This window comes from Homo sapiens, chromosome 5 (genome assembly GCF_000001405.40).
Source record: "Homo sapiens chromosome 5, GRCh38.p14 Primary Assembly".
NCBI classification, from domain to species: domain Eukaryota; kingdom Metazoa; phylum Chordata; class Mammalia; order Primates; family Hominidae; genus Homo; species Homo sapiens.
Genome location: NC_000005.10, coordinates 59,244,095 through 59,271,995, shown reverse-complemented (window position 1 = coordinate 59,271,995; position 27,901 = coordinate 59,244,095). Strand labels below are relative to the sequence as shown.

Genomic DNA, 27,901 nt, shown 5'->3' with positions numbered 1-27,901 from the left:
AGGTTTGTAGATGCAGAAAAAATTCTGGAAGACTCTGTCCAAGCTTTTGGTAGTGGTTATTTTTTAGGAGTAAAAAAAAAAATGGTAGGAGTGAAGGTAAGGGGGACTGCCTCTCTTTTCTTCACTGTATTTGCATATTGTATGTAGTTTTTATCAATAAAGTATTATATATGAAAGTTTAAAATATTAAAAATATACCTACTATATGTATTAGCAAGCTCATCTTTATATATGCCAATATCTACTTAGACATTAAACCACAATTTGCTCAGGTTATATAATATGCAAATGAGTATTTCAGTACTGGTTGGATACAATTTTCTGAATTTTCTTGCAACTCTGACCAATGGAGGATTATAATTTTTTTATTAGCTCTTTTCTCTTAAGGTTGTAAAAATCTAGACTGGCTTAGCATTCTTATTTTGGCCTCATGATCACAGTGGAAAGCATTCATATAAGCTAAAATGTCCAATTTTATAATTGAGAATCAAAAAGATGGAATAACATTAATATGTTGGAAGGAAAATAACCCATTAACCCCATTATTCCATCCTCAGTTATTCTCATTTTCAACTTACCTTACATATCTTAAATAGCTGTAAATACTATTTCTGTACTCTGCTTCTTCATTTAACATATCAATATTTTTCTATTTTTGGCCAGGCGGCGTAGCTTGCTCCTGTAATACCTGCAATTTAGGAGGCTGAGGCAGGCAGATCGCCTGAGGCCAGGAGTTCAAGACCAGCCTGGCCAAAATGGCGCAACCCTGTCTCTACTAAAAATCCAAAAATTAGCCAGAGTGGTGGAACATGCCTGTAATCTCAGCTTCTTGGGAGGCTGAGGCATGAGAATTGCTTCAACCCAGGAGGTGGAGGTTACAGTGAGCCAAGATCGTGCCACTGCACTCCAGCCTGGGTGACAGAGCAAGACTCTGTCTCAATTTAAAAAAAAAAAAAATCCATTTTTCTAATACTTATAGCTTTCATTTTATTGAGTGTCTTATGAAAGAGCTCTATCAAGAATTTTACATATATATTATTTAGTTCTTATTACAATATTGAAAAGAAGGAGTTGTTAATCCTAATTTTACAGGTGAGAAAATGATTCCGTGAGATGAAATAACTTGAGCAAGGTCATAGGCTGGGGTAACCCAAGTCTGTCTACCTCAAAGAACGTGCTCTGGTTCTTCAGCTTGTTGCCTTCCTCTACTGTGGATATAATTATCTTTTTAATGGCCATAAAAGTGTTCATGTTGTGAATATTTCTAGATGCATTACAGTATTTGGCAGTTTTCTTTTCGGAAGTATGGTAGCCTATGAAATTCAGGGTTGACGTTGTTGGTTGTTGAAAAATAGCTTTGTGAAAGACTGTTGGTTGTTGAAAAATAGCTTTGTGAAAGGCTCTTGCAGCTTGTAGACCATTATATTCTCTACTGGTAGCAAATAAGGTCCTCTGGTCTTTATAACAGACAATAAAGAACAAAAGGCCAATGCCTCACAATTTTGAATAGATTATCTTTCCAATTCTATTACCAAGTTTTTCTGTTCTCTGCAAGCTCTGTAAGGCTTCAGGTTGGAAACAAGTAGTACATATCAGATTTTGTATGACATCTAAGATCAGCTTTGAAAAAAATATGCAATCTTCCTTCCTATTTCTTCTATCTTAGAAACTTGTAAATACGCAAACAAATGGAATTCTCATATTTTCTGCCTGTGCAATATATATTATGATTTGGTTTAGGTATGTGACTACTGTCAAAGTTGGTTCAGGGTTTTGAGCATGAGGTAAACTTTTTTTGGTCCTATTACCCAAGTTAGTGATGTATCTGTTATGAAATATACTTAAAGATATACAGCTTTTAGAAATGATTAAGATACCTTGAAATATTTGATGTATTTAAAACATAACTAGAAAGACACAGAGTGGATCACAGATAGGTTTACTCTTTAAAGTCATGAAGTATGAGATTCCCTGGAAAAAGCCATTTGTCCACTGTACTTCTAACATGCTCTGTGTCCCTGGAGGAGTCACCTAGTCCCTCTGAAGCCAAGTCTACTGTCCTGTAAAATAAAAGGGGCAAGGCAGGTCAATGGATTTTAAACACGTTTATTTCAATGGGACATTTTTTATTAATGAAATGTGAGTTGAAGTTAATATAAATGAATATTTATACTGTAATTTTTAGATATAAAATCATATATAAATTCAATATATAGATATAATTTTTAAAAACATAGATATGTGTGAAATATATAAGTAAAAAGTATAAGCACACATAAAACAATAAAACAGCCACTGAGTTTGTACATTTACCCCCCACCCCAAATTCAAACCCTCTCCTTAAAATACCTCTAAAGACTTTAGGATTCCAAGGAATATTGTTTGAAAACCACTAAGCTAATGACTGTTAAGATCACTTACAGTTTTACTCTCTGCAGTGCTGCCTTACCGCGGGAGAGTCATTTGTGTATTCTGTATCTCTATATGGATTGGGATAAACTCGTAGGTAATGTAGCAGTTCAAATACCTCTGCCTTATAAGACCTTGAAGTTATGTAACTTTTCCCACTTCTGAGATATCACAGAAGAGTTATCACTATAATAGTTAAGATCTATTCATTTTATTTAGCATCTTATTTTTTACAAGTTTATTTTAGGCTCATCTGGAATGAGAAAATCATGCACTAAACACTGTATGATGCATAGCTGATAATTCAGGAAGTGAGTATGGTTGTTGGTAAAGAAATGCTGAATTGGTATGAAATTCTTCAGAAGCAAGACGCTTCTTTTGGTATTTCAAAATGGGGTTCTCCACCCTCTTTTTCTATCATGTCAACTGGCTGTGGTTATGTGTGCAATAATACTTAGTCCTGACTGCAACTCTTTTTTTTTTCTTCCCCACGGATCTGAGGCACACCATGGTTTTGGCCTTATCATTAAAACTTGCCTTTTAGGAGAGGTAAAGGAATAGCTCACTTAGTAGTTCCTCTGTCAATCATTCCAATCATGTAGTGAATTCTATTGAATCAGAAGGGATGATGACATGAAGGTAACCATGAGTATACGAATGGTTAGTCATGGATCCACCCAACCATTACTAGCAAGATTGAGAAAAGTAGATTCTAAGATGAAACTGAAGGGGAAGAATATTAATGAGGCCTTTAAGGAGTTTTTAAGCTTTTTAGGGAAAGATGCTGAGCGATATGTATAAATATTCCCAATAATACTAATACTAAACATATAGAATTGTCAAAGTTTAGATAAAGGTATAGAGAATAGGGCCTGAGGGATATTAGCTAGGTTGGTAAGGAAGATAGTCACAAAGAAAGCACAGTCTTAATAAAAAATCAATATAGATTTTCTTGGAAGCCTTTCCAGAGGTGATCCAATATCTCAAAATATAATACAGGGGTTGAAGGTATATTAGAAAATGGACAGAAGTAAGGTATACTTCAGCCACAAGCACCAAATCTCTCCAGGGATTGGTGCCTATGGGAAGGGCTGGGGTACCACATGGGGCACAATGACAGCAAGCCTGGGTGAGACACTGTTAAATATAACTGTGTACAGGTAACTAACTAATGAGAGCCCGTGCCAGTGATATGTCTCAGCTCTCAAATTGCCTAGTTCTTTGTCAAGTTTGACCTAAATTAGAAAGCATTTCAAAAGTATGGAAAGTAGGAAGAATGCCAGAACCTATGGATGCAGTTTTTTAGCATGACAGGGGCAATATTGTAAGTATTTATTATCTGTCCTAAGCCTTCTAAGGGGATTGGCTCCCTAATGAGCATCCTGGGTGATGGCTGAGGATGCGAATTAGAGAAGCTAACAGAAGGGTGAACTGCTCTTCAGAATAAGAGTTAGAAAAACACAAGGGAATATTTCAAGAGAAGAGCTGGGGAAGTGTGGCAAGAAAAAAGAGATTATACAGAGACCAATATGGAAGAATTCCAGCCCAGTTTGAACTAAGCATCCACCATCTAGCACCCTACCCTGTTTAATAACACTGGCAACCTCTGGGCAAAAGCTGCCATTAATGAAACTCAGTGTAGAGGACATTTGCCCCCCATCTCAGCCCTAAGAATTTCTGCCATAGGGTAAAGGGGGTCACCTGCAAGCCCTTCCATTTCCCTACTACACATGAGGAAGAATAAGAAATTAGAAAACTAGAAACTAGGTGTAGAATGTATGCACACCAAGGATTGCATCTTCCAAAGTACCCTTATAGGAAGCAGTCCTGTTGTTTTAAACCCACAGAGTTAGGAAGTTTTCTTTATATCTAATACAAATCTTCTTTGCTTAAATTCTAACCCATTTCCTCTTAGTTGTCAGTAGATATAATGAGAGTGAATCAATAGATAAACCAATTCTTCTTTATGGCCTTTGAAAACTGCTAGTGAGTGACTTCTTGGTCTTTTTTCATTTCATATTGCAAAATATTCATTCTAAATTGTAAAATAGATGGCACCAGTGTGACTTGTTAAAATAAATGTTTCATTAAACATAATTTCAGTATGTAATTGTTTTCAGACTTCCTAGAGAAAAGTGCTCCCGTTGTATCTAATTCTCTTTCTTGTTTAAAATACATCAAAGATGAGAAATTGAGCTCTTTTTAGTGAACTTGCTTGAGACATTCATATGGAATACAGAAAATAATAATTCCTAACATTCAGGATGTCATTCCATTGCAATGTGGCACAGAGTTTTTTCTTTGCATCAAGGAATTTATATGACTGATACTATTTTAGTCAGGATAAATTACTGTAAAATGTGTCCACTTTTAACCAATGGCATTCTAACATGGGATAGGCAACAGCGGGCTGTGATTTTTGCTCTGATACTGCAACTTTGTTATAGAATAGCAAGTAACTGATTGGCAGCTAGATCACCAGCTAGCTGGAGAAAGCAGCTTCTAGGTCTATAGTCATAGTTGGAGTCATAACCTCATTAATGATAGCTACAATGTATTGGGCATCTACTCTTTGACAGACAATGAACTTAGTACTATATACAGTTGAAGCAACTGTATGAATAAACTGTATGAATAAAACTTGAAGTCGCACAGCTTATAAAATTACAGTGCTGCAGAAAAATCTTGGTCTGTCGAAACTACATCCCATATTTGTTGTTGTTGTTCTTATTGTTTTGTTTGCTTTTCCTCACTATCTAAACTGCTTTGGCTACACATAGTTCTGTTTCATGGTATTAGAAAAGTAGTCAACAAGCTGCTACTTATACTTTTCCTTCCTGTCCTAGACTGTTCAAGTTTCTTCTTTTAATCTTATGTATATCAAGAACATGTTTGCCTATGGTATTTGTCTGCCTTTCCCCCCAAGATTTGTATACAAGCCTCCAACCGTGAGCCCTAGAGATATATTGAGAAATAGAACATGGACTTTGACACGGCTCCATTCCTTGGAGATCTAGCTAGTTCCTGACTCGTTCAGCTTATTGACTCTCTTCCTCTGGTCAGACTATAAATTGCAGTTTTCCTTCTCTCTGGCATTTGACCAGTTAGTAGCACCATAAAACCTTTGAAATAAAAGAGACCACAGAGAATAACCTATAATCTGATTTTCCCCACCCCTAACCCCAATGTGGAGCTGGAAACATTTTGCTAGTCTTTAACATTTCCAGTCAAGTAGGGTCAAGAAAAACTGTTAAAAACAATGTCAATGCTTAAGTGGTAAAAAGATTTGTTGAAGAATATATATATATATATATATTTAGAGACAGGGTCTCACTGTGTTTCCCAGGCTGAGGTACAGTGGCTATTTACAGGTGTGATCATATGCACTACAGCCTTGAACTCCTAGTCTCAATCCTCCTGCCTTAGCCTTCCCAGTAACTGGGACTACAGGCATACACCACCATGCCTGGCTGGAGAAATATTTTTTTAACTTCAAAAATGAAGTTTGAGCTGAAAAAGAGAGCTAAAAATTAGTCTGTCAGGCAAATGTGTGAAAGCAGTTCTATTATAATTTGTATTGAGCTATAATGTAATTCCTAAACTTATGTCATATAGCTAAGTAAGTAGCTGTAATTCGCATCTTGAAATTTTAAATTTACTTCTTTCCTCTCAATATAGTCTTCATCTGAATTAAAAATTGTGGCAATTTGTATTTATTGTGTACTTAACTATGTGCCAGGCACTGTGCTGTTCACTTGACCTAATTATCTCATTAGATCCTCATGATGAATCCTAGACAGTACTCATTAGTCTTATTCCTCAGACTGAGGCCTAATGAAGTAAAGTGGCTTGCCTAAATTTGAGTGGCAAATAAGATAATTTCATGATTCGCATATTTTCTTAATTATAAAATGTTACCTTTAGCAATGATGTATATGTTAATATGTTCAATGAGTTGATCTACCTGAAGTGCTTAGCACATGGCTGGCTCCTTGTGAGTGACCAGGAACTGTTAGCTTATATTATGCATTTTTGAAGTTTACACATTGGTATGACTTTCTAAATAATCAAGAACTCTAAATGTGAAAGCTGATTCATTTTGTAAGGGTTTCTTTTCCATAAGGTAGTCTTTTTTAACACAGTCAGAATTAAGCATTTATATAGAGCTAGGTATTCCAGATAAATCACGTTAATAGTGTGATTCAAAGAAGACACACTGCTATCTAGGTGGGTCAAAGAAGTAAACTACTTAGTGGAGGTGGCAAAATAAGAAGTGGTCAGTGGGAAGCTAAACCACCTCTGATTTAGTTATTTAAAACTCAATGAGAACCCTCTAAGGAAGCACAACTAGGCAGGGGTTTCATCTGAAAGGAATGGTCAGCTACCTGAGCATTATCTCTAGGTGCACCTTTGTAAAGACTTTCTCCATGTATCTTTCCTACTGGGTGCCACCCTGTGGCTTGGTCCTACGGTAATCACACTGCCAGGCATTCTCTACCTCTACAAATCCCTTACTCTTCTAGTCCTAAGGTGCATTCCTGGTTGTGTAATTCACAGATTATTATCTCCCTGGAGCTGAGCCTCATCATCTCTATCAGACCAGACTGAGAAGGACTCCTTTTTCCTTTGTCCCGCCATCCCAGCTCAGTGCAGAAGGCTTAAGATGCTTTCTCCATCATTTCTAAAGAACAACAGACAAAAATAGAGATCTGGTTAGGTCTGTTCTTGTGGCGTGAAGTGTTAGGATGAGCTGAACAGCCACAGGGGCTAGAAATGTCAAGAATGCAATACGTTAGAGCAGGCATTTAGCATTCCTGTCTCTGATATCTACTATTTTATTATGAGTAGTTACCAAAACAAAACAAAACAAACTGTAAAAGCATTATTTTGTTATAATTAACAACTGCACATTGGATTAAGTGTGATTGAGGGTGGAGTTCACCAGCTTGGGAAAAAAAATTAACCATTAAAGATTCCCTGAGTGTTTTGCTTTAAAAAGAGATAGCCCAATTACTTTTCTGTGTTTCGTTAAGAGTCTACTAGTATATGAATCAGTAAGAGCTTCTAGGGTAATATAAAACACACACAAAAAAGCAAATTTGATGTTAGCAGACAACTTTTTAAAGGTATTCGTGTAACTGAAAAAATCATTTTACGTACATAGGAATGAAATTTTATGTTTACCTAGAAATATATGTGAAATCCCTCCATTATTGCAAGATCTTTTTCATGTAAATATCAAAAGAATTAGACAGTCTGCATTGTTTAAAACCAAGATAGCTAGTCTTTTTAATCTATGGGCAACTTGTAATTACGAATAGCAGTAGCTGCCTGGAATAATGTACTGAGAGCTGCGTTGGTCTCAGAGAAAATGTGCTGTGATCCATTGGTGATCTCTGCCAGACAGAAGAGGGACATAGTGTGGCTGCTTGCCATTTAAATGGCCTTGATGATCTCATCATAACTCTATATATCTAATCTCACCATTAAATTTGCATGCAAATAAAGTCATTGTAGCAGAAACAGGTTTTATGCATACATACAAATACATGTGTATTTTTTGATATGTTTTGTCTATTTGTCACCTATGAAGAACATATAAATATTGTAAACAGAAAAACTCTTTTTGGATGTTGCAAATGCAAAGAAGAAAAATAAGTAATTCTAATTTTCAAAGGTCACCCCTGTAATCACCACCCAGATTAAAAATAGTACCAGCAGCCAAAAGTCACCTTTATGCCCCTTTAAGCCCCTGCCCCCACCTACTAAAAATAATAGTGATCCTGATTTTGAAAATCACAAACTTTTTAAATTTCCTGCTTTTGAATTTTATATAAAAGGAATAATATAGCATGTACTCTTTTGTGTTTGGCTGTTTCCCTCACCCCCTTGCAAAATTATGTTTGAAAGATGATCCCTTGTTGATGCGGATATGGTTCATTCATTCTCACTTAAGTATAGGTAATTAAGCAAACTTTTGTTTGAGATACAAATTCAGGGTAAAAATCAGATTTTCTATTTAAATAATAATTTGGTATATATGACTATTTGAGCATTTTAAACTGTTGTCATTTTACAATAATTATTTTAGTATGATTTAATATCCAAATTCTGTTGCTTAGATTCACCCTCAGTGGACATTTCTTCTGAAGGGCCTTCCTAGACTTCCCCAATTAGAATTAAAACTCTCTTCTCTGTGCTGTCATGAAACCTTGTACATTTCTCTAACTCTTGAAGGATTACAATTATTGTCTTCTGTCTCACGTACCTCTCCTGTGAGCATGTTTTGGAGTAGACTGGGTTTGCTCATCTTTGTAGAGCAATGAACCCCTGTTCCCAGCACCATGCCTGCTCCATCATGGGCATTCAACATCTGTCCTTTGCATGGAAAGTAGAACAGTGAGTTCTTCCATATTACAAAGAATATTACAGTCAATTTTTATTTTTAATTTTCTTTTAGTAGATGGCACTTTTCAGGAGATTGTACTGGGTGAGTTGTAGACACAGTAGTTACTCTTTATGGCAAGAGTTGTATAGTATCCGGGAGGATTTTTGCCTCTTCCCTGTGGCTTTCTTTCACCCTTAGTTTGCCACCACCACTGGCAATTCTAATCTAGGCACACCTTCCATTGCCTCCTGTGTTTCCCATTCTAAAATATATACTTCCAAGTTTTCCTCTATATTTTCTGACTGCTCGAATGACTCTTCTCGTGTCATAAACTAGTAAAGAGTAGTGCATATAGAAATGCTGATAAATGTGTTGCACATGGTTATCACCCGACTGACATGCTGACCTTCTGACTCTATCAATGGGTGATTTTTATATGAAGCCAAGAAATCTGTTGGTGGTAAGTACTAAGACCACCACTTCAGGCTCACTCTAACCTCATTGTGTGCATCTTGAAACCCCACACAGTTGTCACATATGAGCAGATTCCACAGGAGGGATGCTGAACCAAAGTGACAAGCTTGTCCTGGAGCCCTAACACAGGGATTGACCCCCGACCTTCAAAGTCAGGGAACAACTTAGGGTTGGCTTACCTTCTTGTATTGTGAACTTTTCCGATTGTGAAGCCAGCTTTTAGCTTTACCACACTCCCAGACTTAAATATTTGGAATGGCAAGAAATTAGGCTTAAAAAAAAAGAAGGAAATTAAGGCTTAATCCTTAATAATGAGGAAGTAATTTGTTTTAGTATTGTACAGAAACATTTTCTAGCTACCTGATCATTTAGTCTAGTTCTATAGCTTAAAATATATAGTCCTTAAAGAAAAGTTTTATTTCTGTGGGTCTATTAGTTACAAAAGTAAAGGTGCATTTTTTATTGCTTTATTTAAGTGTTTATTAAGCTTGTTCTGCCACAGGTACCCTGCTGGCTGTTAGAGAGACAATGGTGAAATATACAGCACTCGGCTTCATAAAATTTATGGTCTAGTGACTTTCTGAAGTATTTCTATAGGGCAGGAGACTTCTATTTCACCTTCTACTATATCCTTGGAATAGTTTTTACTTTCCTGGTAGGAGTGTGCATTTATATAAGTGTTTCAGTTGCTTCCAGAAATCCAGTGGTAAACAACATAATTTTAAAACCTCCCTACTTGAATTTGGGGTGGAGTAATATAAAATAAATCTGGAATATTTGATTTTTTAGACCAAAATACTTTCCCTGGGTTAGAGAGATATTTTCTTTTCTTACTGGCCTGGAAATCCATGCCATTTTAATAAGAGATATTTTTATTCTAGGTAAATTGTTTACTTAATCACCTCCTAACAAGGCTGTGTCAGCCAAGTTAAATATTTAAATTTATTTTTATTTAAATAAATTTTAAAACCAACAGATTTCTTTCTCATTTTAATGAATTTAGCCTTTGAGTTTTCAAAGATAAAATATACAGAGTAGAACATTTTAATGTATCTGTAGAGAGGGAACACAAAAAGGGCACATCAGGAAAAAATAGTTGGAAAAAAGTGAATTTTATACAAAATTAACTCATAAAATGAATATAAGGCATTATTTCACTTATTGCCAAAATCTGTCTTTACAGATAATCTTCGGGAGACCTTTATTTTTATAGGCCCTAGTTAAAATATTTTTTGAATGCTTGAGGCTCTATTTCACTAATAAGAGAAATAAACTTTTTCTTTCTATAAATAACTGCTACTAGCTTGTTTGTCAGCTCTCTAAATAAACTCATTTTACTATTACTATGCTTGAGTGCTGTTATATATTCCTTTGTTACTGTGCATAATCCCTGGCTATAACTGCATTAATAAGTAAGGCCATTACATCAAATAGGGATCTAACAAAAACTTTCGAATGGACTATCAAAGACCAGATTCAATGCAGGAAATCAGAAGGAAATGGCATTTATGTCCTAGTGTAGTTCAGTTAAAAGGCCTGCCCTTAAGGATTACAACTGCCATAAAAGGGCACCATGCAAGAATGGAAAACCTGTTTACAACAAAATATCAAATTATTATCTGACTTTCACAATGAACCACATTATTCTATGACTGCCAGTCATACATCTGGACTACTATACCATTTGTGTGCAGTTACAGCAGCTCCAGTTCTATATGGCTAGTTTTGAACTTAGTCTGACTTTAAAACCCATCCCATTTACTATCCTCTGCTTTTTTTTTTTTTTTGGTGTATATTGTGGGAAATTCCATAAATGATTTTTATAAACTTTAGCCAGTAATCGGGAAAAACTGTAAGATTTTGTTTGTAAGCTTTATAAACGTTACTTATAAGATTTTAATTGAATTCTAAATTAATTTCTAATTTGAACCTCTCCCTTCTCTTAGCTTTATATGCTTGGTCATCCCTCCTTAAGTAATTAGCTTTTTTGAAGCTTTGTTTTTTTTGGTTTTTCACTGTTTCTGTTATATTGACGATTTGACTTTCTTATAAATTGTTAGTAATTTCCTGAATAAAGTACAGAAGTTTATCTTTCAAATTTCCCATGGATCATTTCTTAATAGTCAAACAATTGTCTAAATTTCCAATACACAAAGAAAAGTTTTAGCTAACTTACTTCAATAAGATGGATAATTTGTTCAAAGTGCCAAACACATTTGCTTTCGTAATTCATGCCATTTGTGTGTTAAGTGTATAAAAGAGATAGAGAAAGAATATAGGAAATGTAACTACACATGCAATCTTGGGCTTTCCAAAATGTTTAAAGTACCAAATTCCCTTGGTGCCAATTGCTTTAGGCATTTCATCTTCACTCAGTTGCATCCTAAATATAGCGTAGGTGTGACATACCCTGTAAATTTCAAATTCACATAAAGAAGTCCCAGCCTTCGAGGCAAGTCTTAATTGAATACTAAATAAAAACCTTAGTGTCTTCTGAAATGTTTCTGAATAAATAGTTGCTTTACAGTCTTTGATTTCTATGTTCGTTAGTGTCCAAATTCAGAATGGGAACCAACTTGGGGAGAAAAAGAAAAAAAGACTCTCAGGACAATCTTTTTAAAGGAGTAACAGATAATCTATTTTGGCTAAGACAGGGTAGATTCAGGTAGTCAGATAATAGAAAGGGGAGTCCCTTGTGTATCAACTGATGCTGGAATTTGTGAAATCCTATAAAGTTTTGTAGAAAAAAATGTTAAATTCATGGAAACTTGTTTGGTCATAATCCTCACAGTTTCTAATTTAGTATAACATCCTGAATAAATTCATTCAGACCGACGGAGAGAAGAAATTATTATTTGCAATATGTGAATTTCTGACTAATAGGAGTAATAGAAAATAATTGGTCCCTTAGGATATTTCTGATTATATATGAGAGGCTTGGGGAGGGACTCTGTGTAACCGTTGCTTTTAACCCTTGTTTTTGATGGGTAAATAGAACATTAATGCTACATGAAAGATACTTACTCTGGCATCCTCAAGAGAAAGTAGGTTCTTTTTTTTCTCAGTTATCCAAGAAACTTTTAACAATTCTAAAGAAAGAAATAAAAAGCACTTAGTTTTCAGAAGCATGTTTCAGCTTCTTGCATCAGGAGTAGGCCAGATGGCCATGTTCTGTATGGCTTTATAAATATTCCTTTTTGTTCCATGTAAAAGTTAATGGCTAGTTTTAAACCTTGGTATCATTTCGAAGTCAGACCTTATGTGCTTAACTTCATTCAAAGTATTTCTATTTTGTTAGGCTGTAGGAAAACATAGAGCTGAGCTATTAAAATTCCAGGGCAGTTTGGAATTGCCAACAATATGTACTGGAGAGATGGGGGTGGATTCTGAAGTCAAATGAATTTGGAACTCATCTTCTTTTACATGCTGGGTGATTTTGGACAAGGGGGAAAAGCTACCCATAGGGTTTCTGTGAATGTTAAGTGAAATAATACATGGAAAGTGCTTGAAGTAATGGTAGGGACACAGCAAACCAAAAAAAATGCTAGCCAGTTTATTATTAGAAGGGAAAAACTCCTATTAATATTTTCTTGTTTATGTTTGTGTTTTCATGTTAGTCTTAAAACAAGTTACTGTTTGAGAATGTGAGAATTTTAACCATTTACAAAATGGTGTATGATATGACATGTATATGATCTCTCACAAGTGAAATGATAATGGAAAGTTTACTGAAAATGTCTTAACAGTTCTAGGTAAAACTTAATTTTTCCTTAATTTGAAAATTAATAAAAGTATGAATTAGATTTAATCTAAATTTATTATTCTGTTAAAGTCACATGAATGTGGAAAAAAATCAGTATCACTTCTAACTAAATCTGGCCTTGAAACTTCTTTGACATAGTCTTCTTAAAATATATATATCTTATATTCTAAATTGTATATTATTTAGAAATATGCTATTTCTAAACTGAAATGTCTGATATTTCTAACTGATATATATATCTATATATGATATGATATATGATTATATATATGTTATCTATATGATATATAATATATGATATATATTTCTAACTGATATAACAATGTATCTCAGTTCTTAGAGATATGTAAATTATATTTTAATAGTAGCCTACAAAGATGATACAAGAAGATAAGAAATAAATATACTTTTATATATAAAATAGTTCAACAGCAAGATTCTTATTTAGAATAATTTTCTACAGTTTTATTTAGGGTAGTTTCTATACAGAAAAAATACATATTTTATCTCCTTTCTGTGCTAGGCTCTGGAGATGCAATGGTGCCTCCCTCCCTTCCTGGAGCTTACCAAGCAAAACAAATTCACTAAATAAAATTATTCCTAATTGTGTTTTAAGTCCAGTGAAGAGAACACAGGAGGGACCGAGTTAAACAGTGTGTTTGTGTATGTCTGTGTATGGGTGTGTGTCTGTGTCTGTGTGTCTCTTTGTGGCTGTGTGTCCTAGAGATGTACTTTAGTTGGAGTGGTCAGGGAAGTTGAGAACTGAAAGAACCAGTCAAACAAACATTGGGGAGAAGGGGATTATAGCAGGTACAAAGGTCTTGAATATCCAGCAGATATGAGGAGCAGAAAGGCTATCTTTTTCAATCACTTAAAAAGGAAAAGAAGTGAAAGATTGCTGTCTTAAGAACTTAAATTTATATGGCACTCATGTATAGATTTCCAGTGAAAAGTTGGACAACGTGAAATGATGGGTTTCCTACCTACAAGTCTCCAGTGTTTGTCTTTGACTGGGGTGTTTTCTGTACATATCTGACCTGATTTCTGTTGCTAGCCTGTCTTCCCAGGGGCCTTGGTGAGCCGAGGTCAGAGAGAGTGGACTTCACCTAGGAAAAAAGGAAAGGCTTCTGACATAAAAGTGCCCTTGAAAATGTTCTGCTGCTGTAAATCCCTTCTCTTTACACAAAGTTTAAGACCCTCCCAAGAGTTTGACTTGCTAAACTACAAGAGCATTTTTATTAGGTGTAAGATCTCACTTTGACTTTAAGTAGCAAGTGACACACCAGGCAACCCTCGCTGAATTCTCTCTTGCCATAAGTGCATAGATTTCAGTGTTCTAATGCCTCTCTGAGCTAAATTTGCCTCTGATCTGAGTTCTAAATGTAATTGGATAGTAGATATATGTGAGTAAAAAAAAATTCTACCAAATGGTTGGAATAGTTTTCCCAAAGAATGTAATATTGGCCTTCAGCTGGTAATAGGATGTGCCTGCTGGATGAATGACATGGTTGATGCAAAAGACAGATGTAAGCCGTGGTTCCCCAAACTGCAGTAGGGATGAGCATGACAGCCACACATATCAAAGGCCAGGTACTGATATTCTTACTGGAAAGACTGCTCAGGATGTATGTGGTGTTCTTTTTCCTGGCCACCCTTAAGGAGTTTATGAATGGGTTCCATCAGCTTCAAACAGCAAACACAGTTTGGCCTGTATGAACTGAAACCCATCACACATCATTGCCACGATCATTTTCCTCATGTATGCAAGTTCTCAAGTATATTTTTGGTCACAAAACAGCAAAATCATGACAAAAGCAACAATAACAACCAAAAGTAACTAAATACGATTTTTATTTAGTATGAAATGTATTGCATTGTAATTATTTCAACATCATAACATTTATTAAAGATGTATGTATCACTTTATTATTCTATGCTCATCCCCCCTCTTTATACAAAATGGAGCATAATCTGCACATTCATTGTTCTGCAGTTTGTATTTTGCACTTGACAGTATGTTGATACAAAGAGAAGCTACTTGTGTTGCTCTGGAAGAACTTTATTGAGATATAACTCGTATGCCATACTTTTCATCTATAGAGGTTATATAATGTATTGATTTTTAGTATATTTACGTAGTTGTTAGTTAATATCTACCATTCTTTGACCATAATGAATAACAGGGTTTTCTCTGCACAGATATGTCCATTTAAGTAAAGATGCCAATGCAGCTAAATAGAATCACTCAAAAACAACTCCAAAATGAGCCAGGGAGAGTGGAGGGAAGGAAAAGGAGGAATGCATCCAAACATAGCCCTACGTTCCATGAACACTCAGTAACATCATCAAAACGTGATGCAATTAAATTTTACCAGGTTTACTGCTGTCCTGATGCTTTCCAATTTTTTTTGACAACAGTTTTGCCTTTTTCAAATTCAAATGGTATAATTGGGGCTTGGTAGTTGATGTTTATCTTAATTGAAACAGATTCTCTTCATCCTTTTGCTCTGAGACTCCCACTTTGAGGCTGAAAGGTCATTTTAAATCTGCAGAGCACTCGAGAAGCCACATAATGAATTCAAACAAATTCATGCCTATTAAAAGGAGGCTTCTCTTTCTCAACTTCCAGAGCTTACATAGAATAAACCATTTGGTTTTTGTCTGACTTTCTTTTAAAAGGAAGTTATTGTGCTTCCTTTTTAATGCTCTAACTACAGAGAATGGGGAAATCCTGTTTTCATTTATTCTTATCAGAAAGAAAGTGTATTTTGCTCAGTAATTGCAATAAAATACTACTGGGGTTACAGCTACTATACTTGTCAACAAATTTAAGGGATATTCTTTAGCTGCATTACTTTAAGGATTTCTTGTCTATCTTTTATCTAGCAACTTCATTTTTTAACATTTACTCTATGTACTTGTGTAAAGGTGCAAAAAATATATGTACAAAAATGTTCTGCTGGAGTTTTTGTAACAGAACACTGGAGAAAGCCTAAATGTCAATCGGTATATGGCTGATTGAACAACTGATGCACAACTATAAGACAATACTGTGCATCTATGAGGAAGACCTCTCTAGTATGACACTATCTCCAGATGACATTTACTATTGTATTATTTTTATACTTTGAAAAGAAGATATGCACACTCCCATGTATCCATTTTCACTAGTTTTCTTTGTATATACTCTTAGAGTTTATGTAAGTGCAATGAAAACATAAATTCTATTCTCTTCCTCCCTTTTTAAACAAAAAGAAGTATAATCTGCACATTCATTGTTCTGCAGTTTGTATTTTGCACTTGACAGTGTGTCAATACATAGAGAAGCTTCTTGTGTTGTTCTGGAAGACCTTTGTTGAGATATAACTCACATACCCTACTCTTCATCAATACAGGGTGTATAATTTCGTGATTTTTAGTATATTCACACACTTTTGCAACCGTCACCAAAATCAATGTAGAACATTTTACTACCACTATAAGAAACCCCTTACCTTATAGTTATCACCCTCCATCTCCCCCATTACCTGCTCCATATCACCTGCCTCCCTTCCACCCCACAGCTCTAGGCAACGGCTAATCTACGTTTTTTTCCTCTATAATTTGCCTACTCTGAATGTTTCATATAAATGGAATTATATAATATGAGGTCTTTTGTGACTTGCTTCTTTCACTTAGCATAATGTTTTCAAGTCTCATTCATGTTGTAGCATATATCAGATTTCATTTTTTAGGACCGAATAATATTCCATTATATGAATATACCACATTTTGCTTATTTATTCATCAGTTGATAGACACTTGCGTTGTTTCACTTTTTGGCTATTTTGAAATGTGCTGCAATGAACATTTATGCAAAAGATTTTGTGTGTGCATATATTTTCCTTTCTTCTGGGTATATTCCTAGTAGTGGAATTGCTGGGACAAATGGTAGCTCTAAGTTTAACCTTTTGGTTATTTTCCAGTGTATCTGCATTCTCATGTTTCTTACAGCAGAAAGTTATTCTCTTGAATGGCTGCATCATTATTGATGTAGTCAAGGTGTATTTTTAAGTGGAAAAGTTAAGGCACAATGTTCCCAGTTATGGAAAAATATGCTAAGACTGTACATACATAAATATGTTTCACTCAAAAGCATCTTTCTGCGTATGCACTTAAGGTGATGGTAGAAGTTGCTAGCTTTGAGGAAGAGGTGGCTACACGTTTGGAATCTGAGGTAGAAGGGGGCTGAGTACTCACCATTTTAAACTTGGGGAAATTTTACTATGTGTGCTAATTAATTTTTCAATTGAAAATTTGATTCATTAATGTAAAGAAGAAGAAATGTAAAAAATAAAAAAGAAGAAGAAGAAGAAATGTATTTTCCTGGACTCCTCTGACCAATGTTGGTCAGGCCAGGGGCTTCTTGACCTGTGCTTTGTTTGAGTCATCCGGCACCATGAGGTGCTTAGTGCTGTACAAGCACTCTTCTTGCCATCTGCTCTGCTTGACATCATTTTTAGTTATTAGGACAAAAAATTAATGACTGCTTTTCTATCTTTAAGCCAAGACACCATTTAAAAAACAGACATTTAGCTCTTACTCTAAATTAGTGTTTCTTAAATGTTTTATTCAAATCAATCCACATCAAAAGCAAAATAGGAGGGAAAACTAGGGTAGACATCTGAGTGAACCTTGGGATTGAGAAATAGGAGGGTGGTATGTGAACTAATCATTAATGGTATTAGCAAATAGAGCTGGGCAGTCTGTCTGAAGTGCTTCCCAGTTTTTTGTACATTCTTCTCCAAGTATCATGTGTTGGTGACTGGAAGAGGGAGTCTTTACTTTCCGCACAGTTTCCATCATGTAGCTCTGGAAGGGCTTTGTGTTTGTTCTCATCTTTGCTTGAGAATCAGCTGTCTTATTTTGGGCTTTTCTATTTTTTAAGACAAAACCTACCTATAGTGGTTATACATGAAACACACCAGTAGATTTGATTTCTGCCTTTGGTTAAATTAGTTTGCCTTATTAAATGATAGGAAAGAATCAAAATTCGTTTGCCTTATAGATTTGTTCATTCTTATATTCACTCATGTATTCATTAAGCATTTATTTATTCAACACTCCTATGACATCACTCCTCACTGAGTGATGATTCCTTCTAGGGTGCCATAGAGGGCTTGATTTCCAGCTGGAGGAAGAATAATTTAATATCCTTTTTAATGATCAAAATTCTAACCAAACCCAATTTTGAAAAATAACTTGACTTTGCCTAAAAGTACATTAAGAAAGATATAGAAAAGAGATTCTATGAAAATGAAATTTAATAATGTAAAATAATTTGGTTTTATCAGAAATTCATAAACAGACTTTACTTAGAGTTAAAAGTCCCTTTGAGAGGAGTAAAATCATTAATGAAAAAAATGCATACATTTTCTTCAATCATCATCTATATCCCATCGTGATAATGAGGAGTACGCTGTGTGTAGTGACTGTGTTTGCAGGTGGAGGGAGTTTGAGTAATGGAAGTAATAAAGATGCTCCCAGAACAAGTACCGCATCCAATTAGCTTGCCAATTAACAATCTATTCCTGAAGTATTTGTTTATGAAGATGATTTTAACTAGAGAGAAGTCATATTTTATTTTGTTTATATATAAAGATATGTTAATCATAAAATGTATTCCTTTCAAACAGTTATACATTTTTCCTTTGGCAGCACTATTGTTTATTTTAAAGGAAAAGACAGTAACTAATCACAGCATTTTTAAAGAAACAAATAGAGATTATGCTGCTGTAAAGCCAGCATAAAGCCATTTTTCCAAATGTCAACAGAGTTAACAAAGAATTTTATGTTGTAAAAACCTCACAGTTGCCTAGTTTACTCCCTCATCAAAAAAAGAGGGGGCAAGATTCTTTGACATTTTTATGTATAATGTGACTAGAGAATGTGACTTCAGTGATGATGATGATCTAATTGCAATGCTAAGAACCATGGCTGGGCTACGACTGTGTGTGCACGTTGTTATGCTGGGGAGCAAGGGTACCTAGGAAAGAAAGCAATAATGAAAGTATCACTTGGGTATTTGTTTATTTCTGGATCTTATTCTATCTGCTCCATATTATCACTTTGGCATTTAAAATCTAGATGATGGCTGGGTGGGTGCAGTAGCTCACACCTATAATCCTAACACTCTGGGAGGCCGAGGTGGGAGGATCACTTGAGTCCAGGAATGTAAGACCAGCCTGGGCAACATAGGAAGACCCTGTCTCTACAAAAAAATATTTTTAAAAATTCTCCAGGCGTGGTTGCACACACCTGTAGTCCCACCTACTCGAGAGGCTGAGGTGGGAGGATTGCTTGAGACTGGGAGGTCAAGGCTGCAGTGAGCTGTGATTGTGCCACTACACTCCAGCCTGGGTGACAGCAAGACCCCATCTCGGGGAAAAAAAAAACCCAGATGATATGGTTAACCATATTCAGTCATTATTCAGTTATTAGAAAATAAGATTTACAAGGCATCCATGGAGGGGAAAACAATTACACACCTGGTTAGTTGGGCTGAGGCTTGCAGAGATAAAATCACCTGCACACTGTTGCAGAGCCAGTGCTCCAACCTAGACTTCCGGACACCAAAGCCTATGGCCATTAAGCACTCTGCTGGACTGTATCTTGGATAGTTTGCTTTATGGGGAACGTAGTACAACTTTACAATACAACTTTAAAAATAAAGTATAGCAGAGTAGCAGTTTGTCCACAGTCAAATATGAAATATGTAAACATTTCACAGGTTCTTTTTTTAATTTTTATTTTAGGTTTGGGGGTACATGTGAAGGTTTGTTATATGGGTAGACTCATGTCACAGGGGTTGGTTGTACATATTATTTCATCACCCGGGTATTAAGCCCAAAGCCTAATAGTTATCTTTTCTGCTCCTCTCCTTCTTCCCACCCTCCCTGATCAAGTAGACCCCAATGTCTGTTGTTTCCTTCTTTGTGTGCCTGAGTTCTCATCATTTAGCTCCCACTTATAAGTGAGAACATGCAGTATTTGGTTTTCTGTTTCTGTGTTAATTTGCTAAGGATAATAGCCTCCAGGTCTATCCATGTTAAAAGACATGATCTCATTCTTTTTTATGGCTGCATGGTATTCCTTGGTGTAAATTTACCTCATTCTCTTTGTCTAATCTGTGACTGATGGGTATCTAGGTTGATTCCATGTCGTTACTATTGTTAATAGTGCTGGAATGAACATTCGTTTGCCTGTATCTTTATGGTAGAATGATTTATATTCCTCTGGGAATATGCCCAGTAATAGGATTGCATGGTCAAACGGTAGTTCTGCTCTTAGCTCTTTGAGGAATTGCCACACTGCTTTCCACAATGGTTGAACTAATTTACACTCCCACCAAAAGTTTGTAAGTGTTCCCTTTTCTCTACAACCTTGCTAGCATCTGTTATTTTTTGTCTTTTTAATAATAGCCATTATGACTGGTATGAGATGGTATCTTGTGGTTTTGATTTGCATTTCTCTAATAATCAGTGTTATTAAGGGTTTTTTCATATGCTTGTTGGCCGCATGTATGTCTTCTTTTGAAAAGTGTCTGTTCATGTCTTTTGCCCACCTTTTAATGGGGTTGTTTGTTTTCCTCTTCTAAATTTGTTTAAGTTCCTTATAGATGCAGGATATTTGACCTTTGCCAGATATATAGTTTGCAAATATTTTCTCCCATTCTGTAGGTTGTCTGTTTAACTCTGTTGATAGTTTCTTTGGCTGTGCAGAAGCTTTTAAGTTTATTTAGATCCCACTTGTCAATTTTTGCTTTTATTGTGATTGCTTTTGGTGTCTTTGTCATGAATCTTTGCCTGCTGCTATGTTCAGGATGGGATTGCCTAGGTCATCTTCCAGGGTTTCTATAGTTTTGGGTTTTATATTTAAGTCTTTAATCCATCTTGAATTTTTTTGTGTGTATGGTGAAAGGAAGGGGTCCAGCTTCAATCTTCTGCATATGGGTAGCCAGTTATCCCAGCACCATTTATTGAATAGGGAGTGTTTTCTCCATTGCTTTTCTTTAGCTTTGTCGAAGATCAGATGGTCCTAGGTGTGCAGTTTTATTTCTGAGCTCTCTATTCTGATCCATTGGTCTATCTGGCTGTTCTTGTACCAGTACCATGCTGTTATGGTTACTGTATCCTTGTATTATAGTTTGAAGTTGGGCAAGGTGATGCCTCCAGCTTTGTTATTTTTTATTAGAATTGCCTTGGCTATTCGGGCTCTTTTTGGTTCCATATGAATTTTAAAAAGTTTTTTCTAGTTCTGTATTTCACAGCTTCTAACTACATTCTATTGTTGGACATCTTTATATTTTATCCAAATAGGAAAACATTAATTTAAAATTCTTGTCATATAATCTACAAAATATTTATATTCAAGGCACAATGACCCTTACATATTCTTTTTTTCTTTTCTTTCTTTCTTTTTTTTTTTTTCGAGGCAGGATCTTGCTCTGTTACCCAAGCTGGAGTGCAGTAGCTCAATCACAGCTCATTGCAGCTTTGACCTCCCATGCTTAAGCGATACTCCCACCTCAACCTCATGAGTAGCTGCAACAACAGGCGTGCCCCACCACTCCTGGCTTGTTTTTTTTAATTTTTTTTGTTTTTTTTTTTGTAGAGACAGTGTCTCCCTATGTTGCCCAAGCTGGATTCAAACAATCTGCCTGCCTCAGCCTCCCAAAGTGCTTGGATTACAGGTATGAACCACCATGCCCAGCCCTTAAAATAGTTTTTATTATAAAGGCAATTTATGTGCATTCTAGGTTTCTTTAAAAACCTAGCAAGAGGCCAGGCATGGTGGAATGCCAGAAATCCCAGCACTTTGGGAGGCCAAAGTGAGAGGACTGCTTGAAGCCTAGAAATAGAGACCAGCCTGGCAACAAAGCAAGGCCCTGTCTCTACAAAAAATAAAAAATAAAAATTATTTTTTTATGGTGTGTCCCTGTAGTACCAGCTCTCAAGAGGCTGAGGTGGGAGGATTGTGTTCAGGGTGCAGTGAGCCATGATTGCACCACTGCACTCCACCCTGGGTGATGGAACAAGACTCTTAAACATACACACACACATATACACACACACACAATACGACACACGTATAGAAAAAATAAAAATACAAATATAAATTTCTCATAACCTCAACACACTCCCAAATAATCACTGCTAATTCTTAGTTATTTTCTTCTATTCTTTTTCCAAGCAAGTATGATACTAATAGCAATTACCTGGATTGTACAGTTTTAATTTCTTTTTTTAATTTAGCATTTTATCATGAGCATTTTTCCATATCACTTAACATTATTTCAAACATTACTTATATGGATACAAAATGTTTCACCCTAAAAAGATTTTGTAACTTATGTATTTGCCAATTATTGGATATTCAGGCTGTTTCTAGCTTTTCCCAATTATTAAAATTATCAGCAAGGAACATCTTTGAACTGAAACATTGGCTTATCTCTGAATATTTCCTTAGTAAAATAACTATGTCAAAGAATATGACTATTTTAAGACTATTAATATATGTTGCAAAAAATACTTCTCTAAAGGTTATACCAGGTTACACTCCAAGCCACACTGCTTGAGAGTTCTCATCTTACTGTGCTGCTGCAGGAAATGTTTTTCATTAAAAAAAATCTTTATCCACATATTAGGTTAAAGTGGTATTTCAGTGTTGTTTTACTTAACACTTTTGGACTACTGGTGTGAATAAAAATGGTTTTAATATTTTTATTAGCCATTTATCTTCTGTTAATTTTCTGTTTGTCTCTTCGCTTATTTTCTATTGGGGTTGCATAGTTTTTTACTTTTTGCAAGAGTTCTTTATGTATTAGATAGATGAACCTTCTCCAGCTCACATTTATTGTAATTATATATTCCAATTTTTAGTCCCCTTTTTACTTTTGTTCATGGTGTTTTATACAGTCAAATTTATTGATTTTTTTTCTTTTGTAACTTCTTTCTTTGCTTTAATAATTTGAGGGCTTTTATCTTAAGAGTAGATAAATGTTTAGCTACATTTTCCGTATTTGTGATTTTTTAACCTAGCTCTTAATCTGTTTGGAATTTATCTTAATATAAGGTAGGGATACAAGTTTATTTTTTCCCACTATACGTCTCAGGACCATTTGTTACATGTGCCCTACTTTGCTTATTGCTTTGTGTCACAGATAAAATTTTATGTATCATCTATCATGTGTAGACACCTCAGATATAAATTACATTTTACAAATAACATCTCAATAGAAACAAGTAGAAAAAAAAGAACTCTGGTGCAACCCATTGAGAGAAACATACTACATTACAACTATAACAATGATGTAACTAAATTTCTATTTGCCTTCTAAACCTTTTTATTGCTTGTAGCCATTTGCTAACTCCTGAAGAAACTTTTACCTTTTCTTGTCCCAGGGAGTTGATTATTTAATTACAGTAGCATAAGACAAAATGATAAGGATTGGAATCCGCAATGAGCCCTTTCACTGGGATGAAGCAGAGGCTGATGGGACTGGGTGGTAGGTGGGTAAGGTGGCAGATAGATGCAAGAGCAGGAACCACTCACCAGGCACTAGGAAAAGCTCCATCTAGCCAGGCATATTGGCAATAGTGTGCCCTGACTAGTCTTTGGGGGCAAAACATAACAGTCTCCTAAAAAGTGGCTCAGAACAGGTAATTCCTAGACATATGCCCAGGCGTGAACAGGACAACTTATTGAGGTATGGAAATAAAATCTTATATTTTTTCTTATCCGCTCACAAATTTTCTTTTTCTTGTATTTTGTAAAATAGATAATATTTTGACATAATAGTGCAAGAACATAACTTATTGAAAATAAATATACGTAATGGAGGTGCTTGCACTTTTTTTTTTTTTTTTTTTTTTTTTTTTACTAATAGATACGGTATCCAATAAAATTGGTAATCACTTGTCTGGATCATGTGACTTCAGGAAGCTCTATACACCAGCTTGCAGTTCATGGATGGGACAGGAAGAGAGTATCTTAAGCCTATGTTGGAAGGCCAGGTGGACTGGAGTCTCAGGGACGGAAGATAAGCACAGGGAATTAAAGCAGAAGCCAGTAGTAATCAGAGATAAGACGTATGTTCAAGTTAACTGCAGCAGGATGGTGTGGTGCTGGGCTCCTGAATCTGTTTCTGCCTAAAGTCATATCTGTAAAGATCAAGGAGGAGGAGCCAGAGCAGCAGGTGAGGTTCAAGTGATTAATAACACTGGAAAGGAGAACAGGTTGCAGAAACTATGGCTCAGGCTACCTATTCAGCCATTTTCATTTTTTGTAATGCAAGTGCCTATTACATAATCAAGGGTATCCTTAGTAACATATGAAGCCTACATTCTATTTCCATTTTTAAAAAGTTCACCAGTAAACAATTGTACAGCAAATTTTATCAATGTAAAAAGCCATTGTACTCTATCCAGTCAAACCATATTCACCTCTCCTAAAGTGCCCATTACGGAGGCTCTGGGAAATTGAAGTTGCCCTTAATCTTGAGTTACAATGGGCAGGGCCTCTTTTTTTCTCTAAATTTTACTCAATAAATGCAGGCTTCCTATGCATTAAATGGTGCCCACAAACATTGAAACTACTAGCTCACCTCCTGAAATTCAGCACTTTACTATGTGTCTTTCAATGTAAGAGCATTCACTAATTTAACAAGCATTACATAACATGTGTCATTAATGAGTTCAGTTAGCTAGGCCATGGAATAGATATTCCTGTAAATCAACTCCTTTACAGTTACTAACTGACTTAGTTTCATGGCAGAGGCATTTATTTCAATTAGACTGTGGTTCCTGTTGAGATAAAATGAGATCAACTATGTGACATGATTTTGAAAACCATATTATATTGGTGCATGAATGTATATGTGTGTGGGTGTAGGTAGTTTACAGACAGAATGTGTAACATAGGCATGTGGCTTGTAACTGAAACTTTTACAAAACCTAGTTCATTCTCATTCTATAAAAGTGTGTACACACATGTGCATATACACACACACACTGTGATAATGTATCTGTGTATTTGAGGGTTATAAATATTTAGTTGTAGAGTTCTGACAAAGTAGTAAAATAGTCTCACTTCATCTGGATAAAGATCACCATCTGGAACTATAAAAATTGCAATGATTCCAAATTGTTGAATAGTTGGATTGCATATTTACTTTTCAGTAGTATGTTGGCATGCATGTAGATCCAGCCTTCCTTTCAACAAAGAACAGTGGTGGAAGATTCCCTTAAATGGTTACTCTTTCCTCAATAAGAGCAACCATATAAAAATTATAGAACTATTAGTCATCATAGTTGAAAGTATCGCATAAGATTAACAGAGTCCCCATCTGGTGATATGTTTTTACATCAGATTTATTAAGATCAGAGCGGGTTTTAACTAGAGCAATGACACTGCTATTATTAAATAAGAGACGGAAGGCCTAATACATAATTGTCTATTTCTTTCTAGACATTTATGTGTTTTTATTAGGATAATGAATACAGAATTATCAACATCATGATCATAGTTTTTTTGGTTTTTAAGTAGTATCTGTAATGGCAAGCTCATTTTTATTTTATAACCTACCCACACACAGACCTACAGTGAAGCAAAACAGATGCTGAAATATGTTTGTTGCCATTGGCTTTGAAGAAACCTCAGAGAGGTTTGCCTCAGTATTTTAAAAGCAAAATGGTTGGTACCTTTCTGAATAGATGTCATTGTGTCCTTCAAACAAAGCTGACACTGTAGAAAAGAAATGGATTGCCTTGTCTTTTTACCAGTGAACATCTTCACCTGAACAAAACTCATCAGGAAAAATAAAGGATTTTCGAAGTGTAGTTGTTGTTTAAGCAGATACTAGTTATTCCATCCTTACAAATATTTTATATATAATATATACATTTATATATAATATTTATATGTATATTTCATCACACACCAACATCCACAGACACACACACACACTTGTTTGACTACTTCCTCTATTCCTTGAAACGCTTTTGAGAGACCTGAAATATCCTTGTATGGCAAGAGGGGAATGGAATCAAGCTGATTTTTCCATTTTTACAATGTGCCTGGGATTGTGCTTTGCAGTTTAGTGGCATTTTCTGATTCAACCTCACAGAGCCCTGCATGGTATAATATTGTCTACATTTAAGATGAGAAAAGCAAGATGTGGAGAGGCTAGGAAATCTTCCCAAAGGCACGAAGCTCCTGGCAGAACCAGGATTTGAGGCCAAGTATCAAGGTTACAGTACAGATAGACATACATACACTCAATTATAAGTAAAGTTTTTATGAGGCTGGGTTTGACAGCAACATGATAAGTAGAAGTTTTTGATTTGGTAAGATTTTTCGAAAACTCAGAGAGTTTATTGCCAAATTTATTTTTCTCCTAGAAACATTTTTGTTGTTGTTGTTGCTGGCATGGACAGTTATAAAAATAAATTAGAAGTAAACAGATAACAGTTTCCTGGCTGCCTTCATGTCTGTGAGCCTAACACGGCTCCCAGAAGGAAAAAATATGCCTCAAGGAGGCTTATATGATATTGCTTATTTAGGGAACCTTTGACCACTTATTTACAATATCCAGTTACAGCTGTGCTACTTTCCTTTTTGGGCAAAAGCACATATTCGCTTGACCATTATTTTGGAGGAAGCTGATATTGCCTGTCACTTCCAACATGTCCTTGTGTACCCTAGCTCATAATTGCAGCATTTAAGCTTGGAGCTCCCCTAACAACACAATTATTGCCAAATTTACCATCGTTGGGAACATTGGTGAGGCCTGCTTCAGAGGCCTCTTTGTCAGCAAGAAGCATGTTGCAGATATGCTTCACCTTGCATCATAAATGCATTTCTAAAAGTAGTTTCCTATTGAATTATTTTGTAATAACATGTTTTTCTAACTACAAAATAAACACATGTTCATTGTGGACAAATTGGGAACTTCAGAAAATTCCCAATAAATATTCCAATATTTATTAATATTTTATAAAATACACATAACCTGTCATTGCAGCTTCCAGGGATAGCCATCATTAAAACGTGTTGGTTTATTTCCTGAATAAACCTTTAAAGCATATACACACATACCCCACAAACATGCTCACACACACACATATATATATATATATACATTTTTATGGTCATATATATCCTATTATGTGCCAGATGAAATCAGGTCGGTCTCTCTATACACACACACACACACACACACACACACACACACACACACACAGACACACACACATACATACATATATCTATACATATATATGTATATATGTAAATGTACATACATGTATGTGTATATATGTGTATATATGTATATATATATGTGTATACATATGTGTGTACACGTATACATATATGTGTGTATATAGAGAGAGAGACCTACCTGATATTCATCTGGCACATAATAGGATATATATGACCATTAAAATGTATGTATATGTATATATATATATGTGTGTGTATACATATATTATTTCCAAATTTTGAAAATTTTTATTTATTATTTTTTGAGATGAAGTCGCCCTATCGCCCAGGCTGGAGTGCAGTGGCACAATCTTGGCTCACTGAAACCTACGTCTCCTGGGTTCAAGTGATTCTTGTACCTCAGCCTCCTGAGTAGCTGGGATTTTAGTTTTGCCCCACCACACCCAACTAATTTTTGAATTTTTAGTGGAGACAGGGTGTCACCATGTTGCCCAGGGTGGTCTTGAACTCCTGAAGTGCTGGGATTACAAGCATGAGCCAACATGCCCAGCCTGTATATATATATAATTTTTTATTCTGCATTCTTCGCTTGACATTTTTAAGAA

General features: G+C 35.4%; 1 protein-coding gene across 29 annotated transcripts in view; it reads left to right on the top strand.

Moving 5' to 3' along the window:
• PDE4D (phosphodiesterase 4D) overlaps positions 1–27,901 on the top strand; it is a 1,553,091-nt gene that overhangs the window by 1,250,133 nt on the left and 275,057 nt on the right. The window lies entirely within an intron of this gene.